A 24230-nucleotide genomic window follows, 5' to 3' on the forward strand; every position below is an offset into this window, starting at 1 on the left:
GATATTTTTTCCTCTCTTCCTAGTGAAATGATTCACAGTTTTTCTGAGAATATTACCTGTTCCTGATATTCATTACTTTCCCTTCTTCACCTAAATGCATGAAAAAGTATACTTAAAATGTTCCTCTAGTCTGGGTGATGTGGCTCACACCTGTAATCTCAGCACTTTGGGAGGCCGGGGCAGGAAGATTGCTTGAGTCCAAGAGTTCAAGACCAGCCTGGCCAATGTAGCAAGACTCCATCTCTAGTAAATAAATAAAATAAAATGTTTCTCTAATTTTAGAGTGTACTGCAGTCACCCAAAAGAAAACTGCTATTTTAAAATCTGAGAAACTTCCAACTTCCCTTGGCAACACACCCTTCTCTCTCAAAGTTTTCACCATAAGGAGGTTGTAAACATAAGTTGGTCTCACACAACTTGAACTCACTTTCTTCTTCTTCTGTTGATAAAAACACTACTGAACATTTTTGAAATTTCATTGAGTGTACATTTAATTTGGGTACATTTTTGTATATTTATTAAAACTTATTAAACATTTGGGAGGGGGTGGCAGAACAAAACGTTACAGACACAGAAAGAGGTTTCCATGATGGCAACCATTGGGGTGGGGAGATTAACTGGGGAGTTTCATAGGTTGAGTTCCTTGGAAACACTACGAAACCAAGATTTGCATGCAAGAAATTTCAGGAGGGCACAATTGGCAAATACACTTGCAATGAAATGGGGAAGTCAGGATTAGTCAGAGGGAGACACTGACCCCTACTATAGCTGCAATTAAGTCCTCAGTTGATTCTGTGATGAGCTCTGGAACTGGAATGATCCCTCAGTCACATCCTCAAATGAGTAAGGAAGCTGGATCTTTGTACCCTGCATCAGCCAATCACTGGCTGTGGGCTCCTTGGGAGCACAACCTTGGGCAAGACAGTTTTCCATATCCTAAGGCAATGCCCAGGAAAAAAAAAAAGGCTTCAAGATATCAACAGCTAAAATTCCCAGCAGCTAAGGGATCATCACCCATGAAGACGGGATTTGGGCTGAAACACCACAGTATCTACTATCATGGCAAAGTGTTTTACCATGGGCAAATAGTATTTTTATTAAAATACTATAGGAAGTTTTAGTATACCAAATATGCTAATTAGCATACCAATTAGTATTTTTATTAAAATACTAATTTTTACCATGGAATATAGCATTTCACCATGAATATAGAGTATTTTTATTAAAAATAAACAATCTTCATGTTCAAATATTTGGGAACACTTTTTTATACATGTTGCTGGAAAAGTGACTCAAGTGTCATTTCAACTGTGCATCTTGACCCAGCTGATGATTAAACCTGAATTGTTTGTTTGTTTGTGATGGAGTCTCGTTCTGTCACCCAGGCTGGAGTGCAATGGCGCAATCTCGGCTCACCACAACCTCTGCCTCCCAGGTTCAAGTGATTCTCCTGCCTCAGCCTCCCGAGTAGCTGGGATTACAGGCATGCACCACTGTGCCCGGGTACTTTTTGTATTTTTAGTGGAGATGGGGTTTCATCATGTTGGCCAGGCTAGTCTTGAACTCCTGACCTCAGGTGATCCGCCCACCTCAGCATCCCAAAGTGCTGGGATTATAGGCATGAGCCACCACACACAGCCAAACCTGAGTTATTTTTTATTCTTCCTCCTCCCTTATCAAATCCTAGGTCTCCTTCGGTGATACGACAGAAAAGGATTCATCTATCCTTTTCTGTCACTGTCACCAATTCTGGTCCCCACCTTCATCTTCTCAAACTTAAAATTCTCCTGTCTCCAATTTTATCAAGTTGTTATGGGGGGTGGGGGGGAAGGTAAGAGGATGCTCATGGCATCCCTTGCATTAATTCCTCAAACAGTCACTGAGAGCCTATGCAAGGTAGTAGGGAAACAGTACTGAGCAAGAAGATAAATTTCCTCTATCTCTTATGGACATTAATTTCAAGTGAATAAGAGAGACTTCAATCAATTCCATGATGAATAACTTCACGGCAGTTGTGATTAAAATGCTATGAAAAAGTAGCAGACATATGAAACCCCTGGTTTAGGGGGTCAGAAAGGGTTTTCTGGAGTAACGTCAGCCTTAAAGAACAAACAGATAAAGTGCAAAGGAAGTACATTCCATGCAAAGGGAATACCATGCTTCTTCCTACCATTAGGATCTGAAGGAGAAGGAGGTGATACATTCATGAAACTAAAGAAAGTCAGTAGCCAGGTGCTAGAACTCAGAGTTCAACTGGGAAACAGGAGTGGGTAGAAGAGAAAAAGAAGCTAGTAGGTAAGCAAGGGCAATACAAGGCCATTAGAAGTGAGGTTTTATATTACTTTTTTTTTTTTTTTTTTTTTGACACAGGTTCTCACTCTGTTGCCCAGGCTAGAGTGCAGTGGTGTGATCTGGGCTCACTGCAGCCTCAACCTCCCGGGCTCAAGCAATCCTCCCACTTCAGCCTCCCAAGTAGCTGGGACTACAAGTGCGCACCACCATGCCCAGCTAATTTCTGGGGTGCTTTTTTTTTGTAGAGATGGGGTTTCGCCAGGTTGCCCAGGCTCATCTCAAACTCCTGAGCTCAAGTGATTCGCCCATCTTGGCCTTCCAAGGTACTGGGATTACAGGCGTGCACCACCGGGTCTGACCCTATTTTACTTTTTAAAAAACTTTTGGCCAGGCATGATGGTTCACGCCTGTAATCCCAGAACTTGGGGAGGCCAAGGCGGGTGGATCCCCTGAGGTCAGGAGTTTGAGACCAGCCTAGTCAACATGGTGAAACCTCGTCTCTACTAAAAATACAAAAATTAGCCGGGCATGGTGGCAGGCACCTGTAGTCCCAGCCCCAGTCACTCAGGAGGCCGAGGCAGGAGAATCGCTTGAACCTGAGAGGCGGAGGTTGCAGTGAGCCGAGATCGCACCACCGCATTCCAGCCTGGGTGATGGAGCGAGACTCTGTCTCAAAAAACAAACAAACAAACACCTTTTCATTTTGAAATAATTTCAGAATTACAAAAATGTTTCAAAAACATATTACTCTACACTTTTTGCCCCATATTCTCCAAATGTTAACAAATCTTATATTATCATGGTATAATTATCAAAATCAGGAAATTAAAATTGATTCAATATTATTATCATGAGCTTATTTTAACAATTGACACACTAATGTCCCACCCAAGAATCCAATTCAGAATCACACATTCCATTTACTTGTCAAGTCTCTGTAGTCTCTTTTAATCTGGGACAGTTCCTCAGTCTTTCTTTCATGACCTTGACACTTTTGAAGAGCACTGGCCAGTTATTTGGTAGAATGACCCTCAATTTTGGTTTACCTGATGTTTCCTCATGATCGAACTTAGGTCATACATATATTTTTCAATAATATCACATAAGTGATGTTGCGTCCTTCTCAGAGCATCATATCAGAAGGAACATGGTGTGGATTTAACCCACAGCGGCTATTTAACTTTGATCACTTGGTTAAAATAGTGTCTACCAGATTCGGCCATTGTAAAACAGCTACTGTATTACCCCTTTTACTTAAATATCTTTAGGGAGACACTTTCTATGTAAATATCCTCTTAACATTCACCCACTAATTTTAGCATCCATTAATGATTCTTACCCGCATCATTTATTCTTGTGGTGTTTGCAAATGGTGATTTCGTATTTTTATCAACCCTTCTACCTTAATTGGAATGCTACTATAAGGAAGGGTTTTTCCTCCTCCCCTAATTTATTCATTTATTTTTATCAGTAGATATAAATAATTCATATTTATTTCTATGGGTCCATAATGGATTCATATTTATTCTATTCGTTATAATTCATTACTATTATTATTTTGTTGTTCAAAATATCTGACTTGGTCATTGGTGTCCCTTCCAGTTGCTCCTGGGTTAAGCATGGCCCCATAATTTTTTTTAAGACTAGTCAAGTGTGATAGTGAGGGGGCAGAAATAGTAGAACAATGAGATTGATCTGTAACTGATTGTGAACTCAGATAACTCACTAACTTTGGACAGACTCTCATCATTTTTTGTTCATTATTCTATTCTATCTCATCATTTTTTTAGCACTTCCTTTTCTGGCACTGCAGATGTTCCAGGCTCAGGTACCTTTCCTGCCACAGTCTGTAATCGCAAATTTCTCCAAAGATCTCTGTTTCCCTTTATTGGAGATAACACTAGGCATATTCATTGGTTCTAGGGTGTCACTGCCTAATGCCCTCTCATTAGATAGAGTTAGAAACCATATATAGGCACACATCTCTATGTGGGTATCTATCTATAAACTCAAGAGTGTGTATTGATATCTTCAATTCTAATCCAACATCACAGAGTTCATTCTATCCTTATAAGTGTCTTTTATTTATTTCACCAAATATTTAGTGAACACCCTCCATGGGCCAGGCTCTGTACTAGGCACTGGGGATACAGTAGAGGACAAAACAGGTATAGTCTCACCCTTGCCTTCATGAAGCTTAGATTCTAGCAAAGATCAATTTATGGATTACTTTCCTTTTCTCCAAAATTGTTAAATTTATGCTTTCTACCAGCTCACCAGGATTTAAACAGGTCACAGAAAGATTTTAATCAGGTGAGTAACGTGATCAGGAGTTCATTACTTAAAAGGTCATTCTATTGGGTAGTCAATGGAGCAGAGTGGACTGGAGAGGCCAATTGCCAAATCAGTCGGAAAGAGGTGAAGGTCAATGTGGGGAGGCCAAATATGACACTGGTAAGTACTTCAAGGTAAGAGATGCTGGTCAACTGGACAAGGGTAAAGGAAAGGGAAAAGAAAACAATAGGTGGATTTGAGAGATATTTAGGAGATAAACGAACCAGACTTGGTGACTGACTGATGGGTAGGGGAATGTGGTAAGAGAGAAGGATGACTCCAGGAGAACTCCTAGGATTCTGGGAGTGTGTAAATATATTGGCTCAGATTTTCATATATTATATTTTATTCTTTTATTTTTTCCCATCTATGCCCTTTGTCTAGATCCATATATTGTAAATATGTGACTACTACATACTTGTCTCTTCTGTTAAACTGTATAACAACTGTATAACTACTGATAATAAGTTTATTATTGTTAACATTTTTGTATCCCCAGTATCTCCTACAATATCTGGTATATAGTTGAAGCTCAATAAATGATGCTGAATAAATGATTAATTGAATAGTCGATTGTCTTCAGACTTAATAAGATTTTAGCTATCATAAGGTCCAAAATTAGATATAATACCCTCACAAAGGCCTAAAACTCCTTAAGTAGAGGAAGACTACTTATGCTGAATACCCATTCTCTAAAAAAGGTGTGTCTTGGTCTATCAGTTTATTATGTATACTTTCTCTTCTATCAATTCATTCATCCTACCCAAGATTTAAAACCCAGATGTCATAAAATGGAGGTAAACATTTGACTATAACAATAAAATTTCACTTCACACCTATCAGATTGACAAAAATTAATACCTATTAATTGCTTATTCCCAGCAGAGGGTGAGGGTAAGGAAAGGCCTCTGTTTCCTCATCTCTTAAATGGAGCTATCATGCCTAGGTGAGATGTTTCTGGTCCCAAGCAGTCATTCAGGAAAGGCTGACACTTTTCCTTGCTCTTTTACATATACTCCTCCTTCAAGATCCAGGTCAAACCATCTTCTACTAGGACATCTTCCCAGACCACTCTAACATGCAGCAACTTCTTTTCCCTTCCCTGAGCTCCTAGGGTACCTATCTATAAAATTCTTCAGAAATTAATCATTGGTAGTCCTATGATTGCTCCTGTAATAAATCACTTTTACTGTTAACTATTCACATACTCTTATACTTTCTGACGTCAGCTGATTCAAATGTCAGCCATGCCACTTACTTGCTATGATTTCATTTTTCCAATGTTCGATTTTCTCATCTATGAAATGAAAGACATATCCACCAACCTGAAAGGGTTGTCGTCACGATCTGAGATAATGCATGTGAAGGGCCCAACACATGCCCATTGCAGATGTTCAGTAAGTAGATGCCAAACAAGTGCTCCCTGAGTGCAGCTGTCATCTTTTCTCAAATGTCAATCTCCTCCCAGTTATGGCATCTCAAAAACTGCCTCACACATGGCTGCTCTTGATATTTTATTTATTTATACTTCATCTTGGTTACTATCTTGCCCACTTTAAGTTATTACTTAAAGATTTGCCCCAATTTAGCATCATATGAATACAAGCTCTACAAGGGTATTTTTGTATTTTGCTCTATGCTATCCTCATCACCTAAATAGTACCTGGAATATAAGTATATGGTCAACAAGTACTGGATAACAAATGTCGTTCTGGGGCCAGGCATGGTGGCTCATGCCTGTAATTCCAGGACTTCGGGAGGCCCAGGCGGGTGGATCATTTGAGGTCAGGAGTTCAAGACCAGCCTCTCCAACATGGTGAAACCCCATCTCTACTAAAAATGCAAAAATTAGCTGGGTGTGGTGGTGCACGCCTATAATCCCAGCTACTCAGGAGGCTGAGGCAGGAGAATTGCTTGAATCGAGTGAGTCGAGGCTGCGTCACTGCTCTCCAGCCTGGGCAACAGAGGGAGACTCTATCTCAAAAAATAATAATAAAATAAAATAAATGTAGTTCCTTCTGAGGAGTTGCCTTTATTTAAGGTATACTGTCCTCATTTAGCTAAATGGCAAGGAAGATTGATGAGATGTTCAAGATTGATGAGGTGTTCCCTCCTCAGATTTTGAACTGTGAGCAGAATAAAAACAGGGCCGAACCCATGAGAGCATGGAATGTTCCTGCTACCACAATTCTCTGGGACAGCCACTACTTGACTGTTCCCAGGTTGATTCTCATGCCTTACCTTCAATCCTGTGAGCTCACCCATGTCCTTCCAATGAATTTCCTTTTTGCTTAAGTTAGCTCTGGGTTTCTCAACCTCAGCATTACTGATATTTTAGGCTACATAACTCTTTGTTGTGAGTGGCTCTCCTGTGCACTATAGCATGTTTAGCAGTATCCTTGGTCTCTACCCATCAGACGCCTGTAACATCCCTCAGTGTAACAATCGAAATGTCTCCAGACATTACCAAACAACCCCAAGTCAGGACTCAATTAGCTAGACTTGATTTCTGTGAAACAAAAAATCCTAAATGATGGATACTACATTCTGGGCAACTTTTCATTACTGGCCTATACAGAAATATCTCATTTGTTTACTAGCTCATGTTATATGGGTATGTCATAAATTATTGAGTAGTAAGTCTACTAACAGATTTTAAGGTTGCATCTGGTGTTATTATTAAATAACAGCTTTATGGAGCTATAATTCACTCACTTAAAGTGTACAATTCAGTGGCTTTTAGTATATTCAGAGTTGTGCAACAATCACTATAATCAATTTTAGACCATTTTCATCAACCCAAAAAGAAACCCCAACACAACTTAGTTGTCAACTCCAAATCTCCAACTTCTCCAGCCCTAAGCAATCATTAATCTACTTTCTTTGTAGATATGCCTAGGAATTATAGAATATGTGATATTTTGTGACCAGCTCCTGTCACATAGCAAAATGTTTTCAAGGTTCATCCATGTTATAGCATGTATCAGTACTTCATTCTTTTCTTTTTTTTTTTTTTTTTTTTTGAGACGAAGTCTTGCTCTGTCACCCAGGCTGGGGTGCAGTGTCGCGATCTTGGCTCACTGCAAGCTCCGCCTCCTGGGTTCACGCCATTCTCCTGCCTCAGCCTCCCAAGTAGCTGGGACTACTGGCACCCGCCACCATGCCTGCCTAATTTTTTGTATTTTTAGTAGAGATGGGGTTTCACTGTGTTAGCCAGGATGGTCTCAATCTCCTGACCTCGTGATCCACCCGCCTCGACCTCCCAAAGTGCTGGGATTACAGGTGTGAGCCACCACGCCCGGCATTTCATTCTTTTTCATTATCAAATATTCCGTTGTATGGACATTCCACATTTTATCCATTCATCAGTTGATGGACAATTGGGTTGTTTCCACTTTTGGCTATTATGAATAATGCTGCTTTTTTTTCTTTTCTTTTTTTTTTTTTTTTTTGAGATGGAGTTTTGCTCTTGTTGCCCAGGTTGGAGTGCAATGGCACGATCTCGGGTCACTGCAACCTCCACCTCCCAGTTTCAAGCTATTCTCCTGCCTCAGCCTCCTGAGTAGCTGGGATTACAGGCACCTGCCACCATGCCTGGCTAATTTTTATATTTTTAGTAGAGATGAGGTTTCGCCATGTTGGCCAGGCTGGTCTTGAACTCCTGACCTCAAGTGATCCACCTGCCTTGGCCTCCCAAAGTGCTGGAATTACAGGCGTGAGCCACCATGCCTGGCCCATACTGCTGCTATTAACATTCATGTGACTTCTTTGGTTTTCTTGTAAAATAACAAGAAAAAGTAAAAACATTCATGTACAAGTGTTTGTGTAGGCATATGTTTTCATTTCTCGGGTATATAGCTGTAAATAGAATTGCTGGGCTATATGGTAACTCTATGTTTAACATTTTGAGAAAATGCCAGACTGTTTTCCAAAGCAACTGCACCATTTTAACCTCCCACTAATAGTACATGAGGGTTCCAATTTCTTCACATTCTTGCCAATTCTTGTTATTAGCTATCCTATGATGGCTAGTCATCCTGGTGAGAGTGAAGTGGTATCTCATTTTGGTTTTGATTTACATTTCTCTGATTAATGATGGTGAGCATCTTTTCACATGCTTATTGGCCATTTATATACCTTCTTTGGAGATATATCCATTCAGATCCTTTAATTATCTTTATATTATTGAGTTGAAGAGATTTTTTTATATATTCCCGTTCAGATATGATTTCCAAACATTTGTTCCCATTCTATGTCTTTCCACTTCTTAGTATTATCCTTTCCAGCAAAAAAAGTTTTGACTAAGTCCAATTTATCTATTCTTTCTTTTGTTGCTTATGCTTTTGTTATTAATCTAAGAAAACACAGTCTAATCCCTGGTCATGTAGATTTATGCCTATGTTTACTTCTAAGAGTTATATAGTGTGAGATCTTACATTTTGGAATTTCATCCATTTTGAATTAATTTTTGTTTCTGATGTGGGTAGGGATGCAACACCATTCCTTCACAAGTGGATATCCAGCTGTGCCAGCTTTATTTGTTAGAAATACTATTCTTTCCTCCATTAGATTGTTTTGGCATCCTTGTCAAAATCTATTGACTATAAAAGTAAGGGCTTATTTCTGGACTCCTCATCCTGTTCCACTGATCTAAATTCTATTCTTATGCCACCACCACACTGTCTTGATTATTGTAGCTTAATAGTAAGTTTTAAAATCAGGACGTGTGAGTCTTCAAATTTTGTTCTTCTAAGATTCTTTTGGTGGCTGGGCACAGTGGCTCATGCCCGTAATCCGAGCACGTTGGGAGGTCAAGGTTGGTGGATCATTTGAGGTCAGGAGTTCGAGACCAGCGTGGCCAACATGGTGAAACCCCACCTCTACTAAAAATACAAAAATCAGCCGGGCATGGTGGCAGGTGCATGTAGTCCCAGCTACTCGGGAGGCTGAGGCAGGAGAATCGCTTGAACGCGGGAGGTGGAGGTTGCAGTGAGTTGAGATCGCGCCACTGTACTCCAGCCTGGGGGACAGAGCAAGACTCTGTCTTAAAAAACAAAAAGGCCGGGTGCAGTGGCTCATGCCTGTAATCCCAGCACTTTGGGAGGCCAAGGTGGGTGGATCATGAGGTCAGGAGTTCAAGACCAGCCTGGCCAAGATGGTGAAACCCCATCTCTACTAAAAATACAAAAAAAATTAGCTGGGCATGGTGGCGGGTGCCTGTAATCCCAGTTACTCCGGAAGCTGAGGCAGAGAACTGCTTGAACCCAGGAAGAGGAGGTTGCAGTGAGCCGAGATTGCGCCACTGCACTCCAGCCTGGGCGACAGAGCAAGGCTCCATCTCAAAAAAAAAAAAAAAATTATTTTGGCTATTCTGGGCCACCTTAATTTCCATACAAATTTTAGGATTAGATTGTCATTTTCTATAAAGAAGTCAGATGGAATTTTGATAGGGATTGCACTGAATCTGTAGATCAGTTTGAGGAGTACTGCCATCTTAAAAATGTTAAATCTTCTAATGAACATGAGATTCTTTCTAATTATATCTTTAATTTCTTACAATAATGTCTTTTACTTTTCAGATGTTATATACTTCTTTTGTTAAATTTATTCCTAAACATTTTATTCTTTGCGATGCCTTTATAAATCAAATTGTTTTCCTTTCATATCTGGATTGTTCATTGCTAATTTACATAAACACAATACCTTTTTGCACATTGAGCTTATATCCTACAACTTTGCTGAACTCATTGACTGGTTCTTTTTTTTTTTTTTTTTTGAGACAGAGTCTTCCTCTGTTACCAGGCTGGAGTGCAGTGGCATGATCTTGGCTCACTGTAACCTCCACCTCCCGGGTTCAAGCCATTCTCCTGGCTCAGCCTCCTAAGTAGCTGGGATTACAGGCGCCCACCACCACGCCCAGCTAATTTTTATATTTTTAGTAGAGACAGGATTTCACCATGTTGGCCAGGATGGTCTCGATCTCCTGACCTCGTGATCTGCCTGCCTCGGCCTCCCAAAGTGCTGGGATTACAGGCATGAGCCACCACGCCCAGCCTCATGTATTGGTTCTAACAGGTGTTTTTATTATTTTTTTTTTTATTCTTGGAATTTTCTAAATACAAGATCATTTCATCTACAAATAGAGATAGTTTTATTTCTTCCTTTCCAATATGGCTGCCTTTTATTTCTTTTTCTTGACTAATTGACCTGGCTAGAACCTCCAGTACAACGTTGAATAGAGGATGTAAGAGGACATATTCTTGCCTTGTTCCTGATCATAGGGGGAAAGCATTCAGTCTTTCACCATCAGGCAAGATGTTGGCTACAGATTTTTTTGTAGATGCACTTTATCAAGTTGAGGAAGTTCCCTTCTATTCCTGAGTGGTCTTTTTCTCTTCCTCTTACAAGCAAGCTGCAATTGGAAATAACAGATCAGTGAACACCCTGGCTTTTGCTTCAGGGCCCAAAATGTTTAATACTTGCTTTCTGACACGTTCCCAAAATGTTGCTTGATTTTTCTTATTTTTCAGTAAATTATATTCCTATTTGTTTGAGTTCTGGGTAACTCACAATGGCTGCAGTCTGTGTTTTTCCAAAGCAATATCGTCCCCCCTTGATAATCCACTTTCATTTTTCCTTCACAGTACTCCAGCATATGTCTATTTATAGCACTTCATACTTCACGTTCATTGTCATCTTTATTCCTTCCAACAGAAGATCTGCTATTGTGAGCAGGGGCCACTACTAATTTCTGTAAAGGCTTGAGATCAACAGAGGTTTGGGATAATAGGAAACTTTTAAAGTCAAGTTTTAGGAGCAACAGCTATTAATCAGTTTGGGGTAAAGAACCTTGCCAGGAGTGAAAAAAAATAAAAAGCAAAAAAACAGGCAAAGGTATCAATAAAAATAAAAACTAGGGAGGCCAAGATGGGTGGATCGCTCGATCTCTTGAACCCAGGAGTTTGAGACCAGCCTGGACAACATGGCGAAACCCCGTCTCTACTAAAAATACAAAAATTAGCTGGGCATGGTGGCGCGTGCCTGTAATCCCAGCTAACTGGGGAGGTTGAGGCATGAAAGTCACTTGAACCTGGGAGACAGAGACTGCAATGAGCTAAGATCATGCCACTGCACTCCAACCTGAGTGACAGAGTGAGACCTGGTCTCAAAAAAGAAAGAAAGAGAGAAAGAGAGAGAGAAAGAGACAGAGAGAGAGAGGCCAGGCGTGGTGGCTCACACCTGTAATCCCTGCACTTTGGGAGGCCAAGGCAGGTGGATCACCTGTTGTCAAGAGTTCGAGACAAGCCTGGCCAACATGATGAAACCCGGTCTCTATTAGAAATACAAAACAAATTAGCTGGGTGTGATGGCACACACCTATAATCCCAGCTACTCAGGAGGTAAGGCAGGAGAATCACTTGAACCCAGGGCAGAGGTTGCAGTGAACCGAGATTGTGCCACTGCACTACAGCCTGGGCAACAAGAGCAAAACTCCATCTCAAAAAAAAAAAAAAAAAAAAAAAAAGAGAGAGAGAGAGAAAGAAAAAAAACTAGATCCCTAAGGGGTCCAGGGATTTCAGGTTTTAAAAATTCCTGTCCAGGCATAGCGACTCATGCCTATAATCCCAATACTTTGGGAGGCTGAGGCAGGTAGAACACTTGAGCCCAGGAGTTCAAGACCAGCCTGGGCAATGTGGCAAAACCCTCGTCTCTACAAAAAGTATATAAATTAGCCAAGCATGGCGGTACATGCCCGTAGTCCCAGCCACTTGGGAGGCAGAGGATGCGGTGGTTTCAGTGGGCCGAGAGTGAAAAAAAAAAAAAAAAACCAAACAAACAAAAACACAAATATAAATAAATAAATCCCTGATCTATATACATACAGGCTAATAGACGGTGAGCATCTATTCTTTTTTTTTTTTTTTTTTTTTTGGAGACGGAGTTTTGCTCTCGTCGCCCAGGCTGGAGTACAGTGGCGGGATTTCAGCTCACTGTAACCCCCGCCTCCTGGGTTCAAGCAATTCTCCTGCCTCAGCCTCCTGAGTAGCTGGGATTACAGGTGTGTGCCACCACGCCCGGCTAATTTTTGCATTATTAGTAGAGACAGGGTTTCACCATGTTGGTCAGACTGGTCTCGAACTCCTGATCTCAGGTGATCCACCTGCCTCAGCCTCCCAAAGTGCTGGGATTACAGGCATGAACCACCACGCCCGGCGATGGTGAGCATCTTTTCATGTGCTTACTATTTGCTTATCTTTGGAGAAATGTCTTTTCCAATTTCTTTTTCCCCAATTTAAAGACGGACAAAGGACCTTAAAAGACATTTCTTCAAATAATTTTTTGGGGAAGAAATGTCTTTTTAGGTCCTTTGTCTGTTTTTAAATTGGGCTTTTTTTGGGTTTGGTTTTTGGGCGGGGGTGCAGGAGGGGTTGGTAGAGACACAATCTCTCTATGTTGCCCAGGCTGGTTTTGAACTCCTTGCCTCAACTGATTCTCCCATCTTGCCTCCCAAAGTGCAGGGACTACAGGCGTGAGCCACCACGCTGGCCTTTTTAAAATTGTTCAGTTGTAATAAATTTTTATATATTCTAAATATAAGTCCCTTTTCAGATACAGGATTTCTAAACATTTTCTCCCTTTCTGTGGGTTGCTGTTTCACTACGATGGTATCCTTCGCAGCACAAATATTTTGAATTTTGATTGTCAGTCTCTCTTTCAGGTAAAAATAGTGTGCCACAAAAAAGCAACCAGTTCAGTTTGCATCTTAATTGTATCTATTATCATACTTTGGATACAGAAGTATGCATACTGCCCACTTTATCATATAGATTGTTAAAAATATGTGTATCTAAAAGTCAAGGTTAATAAAATGAGTATCTTCTACTGTTTAATCATGGACATTAAGTGAAACTAGTTTTGTTTTGTTTTCTTTTTGCATGCACATGGTAATGAAAACTATGATCATTACTACTATTGGTTCCAATGTCTTGAATGGTGCTAAGGTGCAGAGTTTTATCTACTGTTGCCGGTGCCATCAGTGTAAATGCTAACGCAGTGAAAAATGCAAATAATGTTTTACTACTATTATGAAATAGTCTTGACTTCACATGTTCCGTGGAAAGGGTCTCAGAGAACCCTGGGGTCTGCAAGGCCATACTTTGAGAACTGCTGCTCTATGAAATCCATGCTTGTTTAAAAAGCAAAATAATTCTTTACATATACATTTTCTTATAAAATTGATACTTCAGGAACAAGCTACAGAAAGTTTCTCTGCCCTCGACCATTGCATGGCCCAGGGATACATAAGCCAAAGAGAGGAATGTAAGCAAGGATAATGAAAAGTAATGGGTCTCCCACCATATTTATAAGGAGAAAGCAAAATTGACAGATGATATTGATTTATGAAATTTTGTAAATATCTACCCCATTACAGTGAATATATGCAGATAAGATTCTATTCTCTGGGTAGCAAATGAAGATAGGTTTCAAACAGTCCTCTATAAGTAGCAAGTGAAGCCTCTCTCTAGAACTAAGAAACTAAAGTCAAATCAAAGTAACACTGTAGGCCAGGTGCAGTGGCTCACGCCTGTAATCCCAGCACTTTGGGAGGCCAAGGCAGGTGGATCACTAGGTCAGGAGTTTGAGACCAGCCTGACCAACATGGTAAAACCCCATCTCTACTAAAAATACAAAAATTAGCCAGGTGTGGTGGCGCGTGCCTGTAATCCCAAACTCAGGAGGCTGAAGCAGGAGAATTGCTTGAACAGGGAGATGGACATTGCAGTGAGCCAAGACTGCACCACTGTACTCCAGCCTGGGTGACAGAGCAAGATCCCATCTCAAAAAAAAAAGAAAGAAAAAAACATAATACCGTAGATGTTAAACCAGTAAAACATATTCTGGGGACCAAAGTCTCCTCTTAATGTCCTTTAGAGAGCAACAGGGACATTATCTACTTCAACTACTTAACCTATATAAGGATCATCAAAAACTAATAGCCATGTTAAAGCAAACTTCTGAAAATGCTTACAGACCATGGTCAAGTTACTGAGACCTAGCCGAGGCTTAACTTATTTCTGTTTCCAACCCACCATACATACCACTCCAAGATTAATCCCCTAAATCAGCCAGGCACAGTGGTTCATGCCTGTAATCCCAGAACTTTGGGAGGCCAAGGCAGGTGGATCACTTCAGCTGAGGAATTTGAGGACAGTTTGGGCAACATGGCGAAACCCTGTCTCTACAAAAAATACAAAATATTATCTGGGCATGGTGGCGTGTGCCTGTAGTCCTAGCTACTCAGGAGGCTGAGGTGGGAGGATCACCTGAGCCCGGTAGGCAAGGCCACAGTGAGCCATGATTTCACCACTGCACTCCAGCCTGGGTGACAGTGAGACTCTCTCAAAAATAAAAATAAAAATAAAAATCCCCTAAATCACCCTCACCTTTACTGAAGAACTTTCAGTAATAATTATTAAGAGCCCTTAACCACATGTCTGGCCTTGTACTGAACAATTTAAATGAATTTTCTCATTTATTCCTCCCAGGAATTCAAAAAGGGAGGATCTATAATTCTCCCCACTTCCGCTGGAGATGAAGAATCTGACTAAAAGAGATTCTGTAACCTGCCCAAATCAAATCACCAAGCTTCTGAGTATCAATGTTAAGACTCAAACCTATGTTATCTTTGCAGAGATTCTCTAACATTAATAATCACTTAGAGAACTTGTTAAAAAGACAGCTAATTAGGCACCACTGCAGGGCACACAGATCAAAATTTCCAGGGCAGTTCTCTGACTCATAGCAGGTTTAGGAACCACTACAAGTTAACTTCCCAGTTCCTACAGAATGGGGTCTATTTCTTTTTTCTTTTTCTTTCTTTTTTTTTTTTTTTTTTTTTTGAGACAAGGTCTCACTCTGTGGCCCAGGCTGGAGTGCAGTGGTGCAATCTCGGCTCACTGCAACCTCTGCCTCCCCAGTTCAAGCAATTCTCCTGCCTCAGCCTCCCGAGTAGCTGGGATTACAGGTCCTCGCCACCACACCTGGCTATTTTTTTGTATTTTTAGTAGAGACGGGGTTTCACCATGTTGTCCAGGGTGGTCGCGAACTCCTGACCTCAGGTGATCCACCTGCCTCAGCCTCCCAAGTGCTGGGATTACAGGTGTGAGCCACTGTGCCCGGCCCAGAATGGGGTCTCTTTTTTTTTTTTTTCCTGAGACAGAGTCTCACTCTGTCACCAGGCTGGAGTGCAGTGGTGCAATCTCGGCTCACTGCAACCTCCGCCTCCAGGGTTCAAGCAATTCTCCTGCCTTAGCCTCTTGACTAGCTGGGACTACAGGCACACACCACCACACCCAGCTAATTTTTGTATTTTTAGTAGAGACGGAGTTTCACCATTTTGGCCAGGATGGTCTCCATCTCTTGACCTCGTCATCCGCCCGCCTCAGCCTCCCAAAGTGCTGGGATTACATGCATGAGCCACCACGCCCGGCCAGAATGGGGTCTATTTCTTACGCCTAAACCCTCCCACAAGCAGCTTCCTCCTCTCCTAGGGTAGGGCAAAATTCCTTAAACTGGCCTACAAAGCTCTTTGTTTCACAGCCTTTCACTCACTGATATTTTTGGTTTTCTCTTGCCTCAAGATCTCCTTTCTGTTTCAGTTTCTTCTATTCATCATTTCCTTCACAAGGCATTTGTACACGCTGTTCTTTGGCCTGGAATGTTCTTCCCTCTTCCCTTTATCTAGTTAATGCCTGCTTTTCTTGGGGCCTCGGTATAACAGACACTACCTCAGAGAAACTTTCCATGACCTCCTGGTCTAAGTCAAATCCTAGTTATAATCTCTCACAACACTATGTACCACATTTGCAATTTGATACATTTATTTATGTGATAATCCTTCTCATAATAAACTATAAACCCCACAAACAAGGTAAAAACTGTGCTTGTTTTTGCTCATCATTGTATCTTCAGTCCCTAGCTTAGCGCCTGTCACATACAATCAATATTTTTTAAATGAATTAATAGATTCAAGGTTTTTTAACTATTCTCCCGATTTAACCAGTTGTCTTCGTCCATTTTATGCTTCTATAACAGAACACCTGAGAATAGGTAATTTATAAAGAAAAGAAATTTACTTGGTTCACAGTTCTGGAGGCTGGGAAGTCCAAGATCAAGGGGCATAAACTGGTAAGAGCCTTCCTGCTGCACCATAATATGGCAGAAGGAATCACATGGTGAAAGTGCAAGACAGAGAGCAAGAGAAGACCAAACTCACTTTTATAACAAACCTGCTCTCAAGATAATGAACTCATTCCCTTGATAACTATATTAATCCATTCATGAGGGCAGAGCCCTCACAACCTCATCACCTCTTAATAATCCCATCTCTCAAGACTGCTGCATTAAAGTTTCTTTCTTTCTTTCTTTCTTATTTTTATTTTTTGAGACACAGTGTCACTCGGTTGCCCAGGCTGGAGTGTAGCGGCACAATCTCAGCTCACTGCAACCTCCGCCTCCTGGGTTCAAGTGATTCTCCTGCCTCAGCCTCCCGAGTAGCTGGGATTATAGGCACACACCACCATGCCTGGTTAATGTTTGTATTTTTAGTAGAGATGGAGTTTCACCATGTTGGCCAGGCTGGTCTCGAACTCCTGACCTCAAGTGATTTGCCCGCCTCGGCATCCCAAAGTGCTGGGATTACAGGCATGAGCCACCGTGCTCAGCCAGAATTTAAGTTTCTAACATATGAACATTGGGGGACACATTCAAACCACAGCACCAGCCCTTCATATTTTCCGCTTACATAACAGATCTATAGTTCAAGTTATAAAGGATAACTTCTTTCTTTACATCCTTTCATTCTTACCCAGACCCAAGATCCTTCTTTACCTCTTCACCTACATTAATTACTCCTCTTGCTACAAAGTAGAGCCTAAATTGGTTTTACAAAGCTCTCTTTAACACACCAGTCCACAACAGTTTCCAGTGGAACTTCTACATCACTCTAAATTTCTATGCTGTTTATTTGACACTTCCTCAAATGCTATCATGTTATCATTATACAATATTTCATTATTATACTCTGTTTTATTTGCTTTTTTCTTTTTTTTTTTTTGAGAGGGAGTCTGTCCCCAGGCTGGAGTGCAGTGGTACAATCTCGGCTCACTGCAAGCTCCGCCTCATGGATTCACGCCATTCTCCAGCCTTGGCCTCCCGAGTAGCTGGGACTACAGGCGCCCGCCACCATGCCCGGCTAATTTTTTGTATTTTTAGTAGAGACAGGGTTTCACTGTGTTAGCCAGGATGGTTTCGATCTCCTGACCTTGTGATCTGCCCACCTCGGCCTCCCAAAGTGCTGGGATTACAGGCGTGAGCTACCACACCCAGCCTGCTTTTATTTTTCTAAATATAAACATATTTAGGTATGTAGATTGTATGCCTCTGAAGGGTAGCTATAGGCCAGGCACAGTGGCTCATGCCTGCAATCTCAGCACTTTGGGAGGCCAAGGCAAGTGGATCACTTGAGGTCAGGAGTTCAAGACCAGCCTGGGCAACATGGAGAAACCTCATCTCTACTAAAAATACAAAAATTAGCTGGGCGTGGTGATGCATGCCTGTGATCCCACCTACTCAGGTGGCTGAGGCATGAGAATCTCTTGAACCTGGGAGTGGGAGGTTGCAGTGAGCTGAGATGGCACCACTGCACTCCAGCCTGGGCAGCAGAGCAAGACTCTATCTAAAAAAAAAAAAAAAAAACATAGGTATAGTTATAATTTGCTACTAGCATACCTATGCATATATTTTCTGGAAACACCTGCTGAAGGAATTAATGAAAAAAAAACTTTCTGTAGCTTGGAATGAGGACTCAGCCTGCAGTTTATCACCAAATTTGGCAATTGACAGTTCTCCTTAGAAGGCACCTAAAAATATTATACCATTTCTGTAACGAATACTCCAGGCCCCTTTATGGTAGACAGTTCAAAACAAGTATGATGGAAGAACATTAGAGTGGTATATTATTTTAAATTTTCTGACATATTTAGAGCAGCTCATACTCAGTTATCTCTAAATCCATTACAGAATTATTAAAATAGTGGTGTGCGCCTATAATCCCAACTCTTTAGAACTCTACATCATCAAGCTTTGTTCTTGTCCTCTGAACTTGGGAGAATCTTTAAATATTTTCTGTAGGTTAATTTCTATTTCAAAATATATCTCTGAGGAAAAAGTTGTTTTTGTCTATAGTCATGCTGGTTACTCTCTTGGCTGAATATCATTTATCATAGACTTTTTTTTTTTTTTGAGACGGAGTCTCACTCTGTTGCCAGGCTGGAGTGCAGTGGTGCGATCTCAGCTCATTGCAACCTCCGCCTCCCAGGTTCAAGCGATTCTCCTATCTCAGCCTCCTGAGTAGCTGGGACTACAGGTATGCGCCACTATCATAGATTTTCAACCCTACATATAAATGCAGGAGTGCATTTCAATGTGGTTTTGGTCAGATTAAGGTCTTAATAATCTAGACTTTTTTCCTTCAAAATCAGAGAATATATTGTAATTCCAATTATTCTGAGTCTTATTGGAAAATGTAAGACCACAAAAAACAAAGCTGACAAACAATATTGAAATTCACACAATATGTGTCACCCATTTCAAATGTTAGGATTAATTTATTTTCTGAGTTTTATCAATCACTATTTTTGCCCATACTAATAAGAAACAAAGTTGATAATAAAGAATTATCAGTTATCTGTTTATATGCTTCTTTTCAGATACCCTTATGAACATTTTCTGTGGAGCTAATTACTCTTTTAAAAGCTTTATTGAGATGTAATTTATGTAACATTAAAATTCACCCCTTTTAAGTGTACAATGGGTTTTTGAGTATATTTACAGTTTTGCCACTATTACCATAATCTAATTTTATCTTATTTGTGATATAATTCACAAAATTATATAACCAGAACCATTATCTAATTCTAGAATACTTTCATCCCTCTAATAAGGAACCTCATACTCATTAGCAGTCACTCCCCATTTCTCCCCAACTCCTTCAGCCCTATGCAATCACTAGTCTACTTTCCGTCTCTATGGAGTTGCCTATTCTTGACTTTTCATGCAAACAGAATCATACAATATGTGGTCTTTGTGACTGGCTCCTCTCACTTGGTATAATGTTTTCAAGGTTCTTTCATGTTATAGCATGTATCATAACTTTATTCCTTGTTTTCTCCTAATAATATTCTATTGTATGATACACCACATGTGGTTTATCCATTCATCAACTGGTGGATATTTGGGTTTCCACTTTTTGGCTATCAAGAATAATGCTGTAGGCCAGGTGCTGTGGCTCATGCCTGTAATCCTAGCATTTTGGGAGGCCGAGGTGGGAGGATCATTTGTGCTCATGAGTTCGAAACCAGCCTGGGCAACATGGCAAAACACCATCTCTACAAAAAAAATTTTTTTAAGCCAGACATGGTGGTGCGCCCCTGTAGTCCTAGCTACTTGGGGGGCTGAGGCAGGGGGAGTGCTTGAGCCCCTGAGGCTGAGGATGCAGTGAGCTGGCGCCACTGCACTCCAGCCTGGATGACAAAGCGAGACTCTGTCTCAAAAAAAAAAAAAAAAAACCCAGAATAATGCTGCTATGAACATTCACAAACAAGATTTTGTGTAGACATGTTTTCATTTCTCTTGAAAATACCTAGAAGTGGAATTACTGGGTCACATGCTAATCACTCTTTAGACCAGTAACAGGATTTTTTTCTACTTTAAAAGGTTTTTGACACAGCCAGAAAGCTGATTTTTCATAAAAATGCAAACATAAAATCCATTTGTTGGTATAATAAGGTCAAGGTGCACAAGTCTTTGCTATCAACAAAAGGTATCATATTTTCCAATTTCAGTTGAAACAGACATTCTAACATTGGTTAAGATCTTAGAATCTTGGAGTTTGTACTAGTGTACTTAATCCATATGCTGGGATAAAATTCTGTTTTTAAGCAGGAAGTATATATCCAACTCCCATGGCTGACAACTGCTTAAGAAATAAGTACACAATAAGGTTAGACTGACACAGCACAAGGAGCAAAAAATAATAATTTAAAATGTTAAGACACCGGGCTGTGCACGGTGGCTCACATCTATGATCCCAGCCCTATGGGAGGCCGAGGCAGGCAGATCACCTGAGATCAGTTCAAGATCAGCCTGGTCAACATGGTGAGACCCTGCCTCTGCCAAAAATACAAAAGTTAGCCAGGCATGGTGGTGCGAGCCTGTAATCCCAGCTACTCCGGAGGCTGAGGCACGATAATCACCTGAACCCGGAGGAGGAGACTGCAGTGAGCCAAGATAGTGCCACTGCACTCCATCCTGAGCAACACAGCGAGACTCCGTCTCAAAAAAATAAAATAGACCAGGCGCGGTGGCTCGCCCCTGTAATCCCAGCACTTTGGGAGGCCGAGACGGGCTGATCGCCTGAGGTCAGAAGTTCGAGACCAGCCTGGTCAACATATAGTGAAACCCCATCTCTACTAAAAAACACAAAAATTAGCTGGGTGTGGTGGCACACACCTGTAGTCCCAGCTACTTGGGAAGCTGAGGCTAGAAGGATCACTTGAAGTCAGGAAGTGGAGCTTGCAGTGAGTCAAGACAGCGCCACTGCACTCCAGCCTGGGCAACAGAGCAAGACTCCATCTCTCAAAATCAATGAATTAATTAAATAAATGAATTAATTAAATAAAATATTAGACACTGGTCACATGCGGTGACTCACATCTGTAATCCCAACACTTTGGGAGACCAATGCGGGTGGCTCGCTTGAGCCCAGGAGTTGCAAGACCAGCCTGGGCAACATGGCGAGACCGCGTCTCTACCAAAAAAAAAAAAAAATATATATATATATATATATATATATGTATTATATATTATAAATGTATATATGTATTATATATTATAAATGTATTATATATTATATAATACATATATATTATATATAATACAAATATATATAAAATATTAGACACCCCGATTAAACTAAATACTCATTTTCTTTCCCTAGGAGGAGTGTGTGTGTATGTGTGTGGTGGGGGGGGGTGGGTGCTGTTTCTCAAAAACATATTTCAAAAATTGGAGGCCAAGTAAGCTTCTGGTCACATTTTTTGGGTTTGTTGTTTTTTCCCAGCAATGAACACTCTAGTTCAAATATACTTCGCAAATTTTGAACAGATAATGAAAAGTTGATTGTAAAATTCTACATATAAAAAGAGCTTTAAAAACACATTTTCATTTTTTAAAAAATCAAACACCTTGTAGCAGATATTAGACATAATCAAGGGAAAACTACCAGCGTCCTACCAATCACAGCCCTAGAGAAAACGCCACAGGTCGTCCAAAAAACGCATTCGTTTGAGCCGACAGCTCTTTCCTCCCGCCAAAGCTATCCCTCGAACGTCAGAAGCTGACCCAAGGAGTGACTGATGATTTCTCCTTTTTGATTCCCCACCCCCGCCACTCCCAATCCACCTGCTTGAAGGTGTCAACGCGACTAGAAACGGTTAACAGTGACCAGCAGCAGAGAGAGAAACAAACATCCCTGACAACCCACAGCTGAGTAAGCAAGAGCTGTTTATTCACCAACGTGTTCCATTTGGAGACTGTCGGCGAGCCCTGGAAAGCCCAGGCACATTTGAGAAGGTTCCTGGAGAGGGAGAGAATCATCTTTCCTTCCCCCAACTCCCCAGCCCCAAACACACAGAGAGACTCGGGTGGAAGCTGTCTGGTCCAGGCAGTCCCTATTTGCCCGCCCCCTCAAGAAGAACCTCACGCACCAAACCAACCGACCCCTCGCGGAGGTGGTGTAATTCCCCCAAAATGGGCTCTGCCGCAGGAGAGGCTGGCTCCAGCGCCGGGGGCTTCGGAAGGAGTTTCTGCCACCCCCACTGCCGCCACTGACCGCCCCGACGCCACGGCCGGGGCCGGGGACCCTGATAAGAAATGGCCCTTCAGCCCCCTCCCCTCACCTGGCTCGGTCCCACCTGAGGGCAAGAGCGGAGGCAAAAACAAACAGGCAGGGAGGGCTGACCTTGTTGCTACCGACAGTGGAGCGGCGCATCCTGCTGCTTCCTGGAAAGCGGCCCGAAAGACATTTTTTCCCCCTGGAGGAAGGAAACGGGAGGGCGCCGGCCAGACGGCGGCAGGCGCGGAGGCGTTGGTCCGGGCGGGCTGTGCAGCCTCTAGTGGAGACGGTCCGAAGACTACATCTCCCAGGCTGCTCTGGGCCGCCCTGCGTCGTAACCCTGGCGCGCACGGAGGCGGCGACTCTTACCTCACAAAGGTAGCTCCTCCGCCGGCAGCAACTCGGCGCCCGCGGTCCATGGACCGGAACCTCGGGCCGACGGACGGGAACCCGGGCCGCGATCGCCGCCTCCCCGCCTCAGGCTCCTCCTCCTCGCTCTCCGCCGCCTCCGCCGGACTCCCGCAGGCCCTGCACCGCCGCCGCCAGGCTAGCGGAGCTGCCCCGGGAAGCTGGGTGACGGGTTCGCGGCTGCCGCCGGACTGCGGCCTACTCCGCCGCCTCTCAGTGCTATTGTCCCTGGGCCTGGCCTTGAGCGGGTCCACTGGGGAAGGCCGTGTGCGCCGGCTCCGCGGAAGATGCCGGACCAAGCCCTACAGCAGATGCTGGACAGGTACGGGCAGCTGTGGGGGGGACCGGGAGCCGCCGACCCTCGCTCTGGCCCTGCCCGCGCCCGCCCTCGAGGCTCTTGGTGAGCAGAACCCGGCGTGCCGGGAGGAGTTCCACGGCCAGGGGGCCGTGAGAGGGGCAAAAAGTTTGGAGTCTAGACCTGGGGGAGGACAGAGCGAGCGGCCTGGGTCGTAGACTTTGGGTGAAACTTAGCTAAGGAGTGGCGTCTGGTTTCCTTGGAACCCCGTTTTGACCTGAGAGGGACTCCTGTTAATCCACAAAATTAGTTTTCCTTACCCTCTTCCCCTCCCCCTTCCCCCTCCCCAACTTGTGAAGTGTTTGTCAGCGATGTCACTGGCAAGAACCGGGTTATCTTTCAGGGGAATGACCCCCTTATAATTTTAAGTCTCTGTCTGAGAACCAATGATAAGCATTCTTTTGGAAAGCCTGATAGGCTGATTTCATTCTCCCACTTTCCCTGAACCCGCACCCCCCGTCCCCCCCGCCCCATCCCGTCCCCACCTCCGAACTGTAAGGTCAGAGTATCCGCAAGGGAGATTTAACGGTCAGACCAGAGTAGAGGTTATGGAAAACAGCCAAATGAGTCCAACGCTGAACATTTAGTGTACTTGACGATCGTTGAGTTCATTGAAGACGTTTCAGCTCGTACAGGAGTCCAGTTGCCCATTCTTGGGGGGCCCCAGTCGGTAAAACTCTTTGTGAAGTCGGGTGCACCGCCCTCTGCTGTTGAAATTCTGGTCCGTGGGTCCTACCATGAGTTTTTGGAGACTCTAGATCCACATTTCCCCCGAGCCAAGTCTTACTTCCTGGCATAGCAAGTTGTACAAGCTAATTCATGATGTTTGTGGTTGCTTACAATTCTCAATAGACACCACTTGCCACCCATTTCAGCAGGTGGTAC

General features: G+C 42.5%; 2 protein-coding genes across 19 annotated transcripts in view, besides 3 other annotated features; one reads left to right on the forward strand and one right to left on the reverse strand.

Moving 5' to 3' along the window:
* The window catches only part of CPEB3 (cytoplasmic polyadenylation element binding protein 3), a 244542-nt gene extending 221526 nt beyond the window's left edge, over positions 1–23016 (reverse strand). For 16 of the 18 annotated variants that reach the window (XM_011539517.3, XM_011539520.3, XM_005269630.5 and 13 more), the window contains exon 1: positions 22709–22861. The gene's annotated coding sequence lies outside the window, so the exon portion shown is untranslated. Of the gene's footprint in view, positions 1–22708; positions 22862–22951 lie in introns of those variants that run through there. The other 2 variants (XM_047424810.1, XM_024447895.2) reach the window with 1 other exon arrangement.
* Positions 22155–22364: an enhancer, noted in NCBI's record as "active region_3769". NCBI's record gives its function as "activates an Ori minimal core promoter by ATAC-STARR-seq in GM12878 lymphoblastoid cells {active_cell/tissue: GM12878}" and the evidence as "EXISTENCE:reporter gene assay evidence [ECO:0000049][PMID:35858748]".
* Positions 22925–23174: a silencer, noted in NCBI's record as "silent region_2615". NCBI's record gives its function as "represses an Ori minimal core promoter by ATAC-STARR-seq in GM12878 lymphoblastoid cells {active_cell/tissue: GM12878}" and the evidence as "EXISTENCE:reporter gene assay evidence [ECO:0000049][PMID:35858748]".
* The window catches only part of MARCHF5 (membrane associated ring-CH-type finger 5), a 62798-nt gene continuing 61517 nt past the window's right edge, over positions 22950–24230 (forward strand). The window contains exon 1 of the mRNA NM_017824.5: positions 22950–23312. Within this exon, the coding sequence (NP_060294.1) occupies positions 23278–23312 (35 nt within the window). The 5' untranslated portion in view covers positions 22950–23277. The remainder of the gene's footprint in view (positions 23313–24230) is intronic.
* Positions 23312–23890: an enhancer, noted in NCBI's record as "H3K27ac hESC enhancer chr10:94051286-94051864 (GRCh37/hg19 assembly coordinates)". NCBI's record gives its function as "activates a minimal SCP1, AML or CMV promoter by ChIP-STARR-seq in primed H9 embryonic stem cells {active_cell/tissue: H9 hESC(primed)}" and the evidence as "EXISTENCE:reporter gene assay evidence [ECO:0000049][PMID:30033119]".

This window comes from Homo sapiens, chromosome 10, assembly GCF_000001405.40.
Source record: "Homo sapiens chromosome 10, GRCh38.p14 Primary Assembly".
Lineage (NCBI taxonomy): Eukaryota > Metazoa > Chordata > Mammalia > Primates > Hominidae > Homo > Homo sapiens.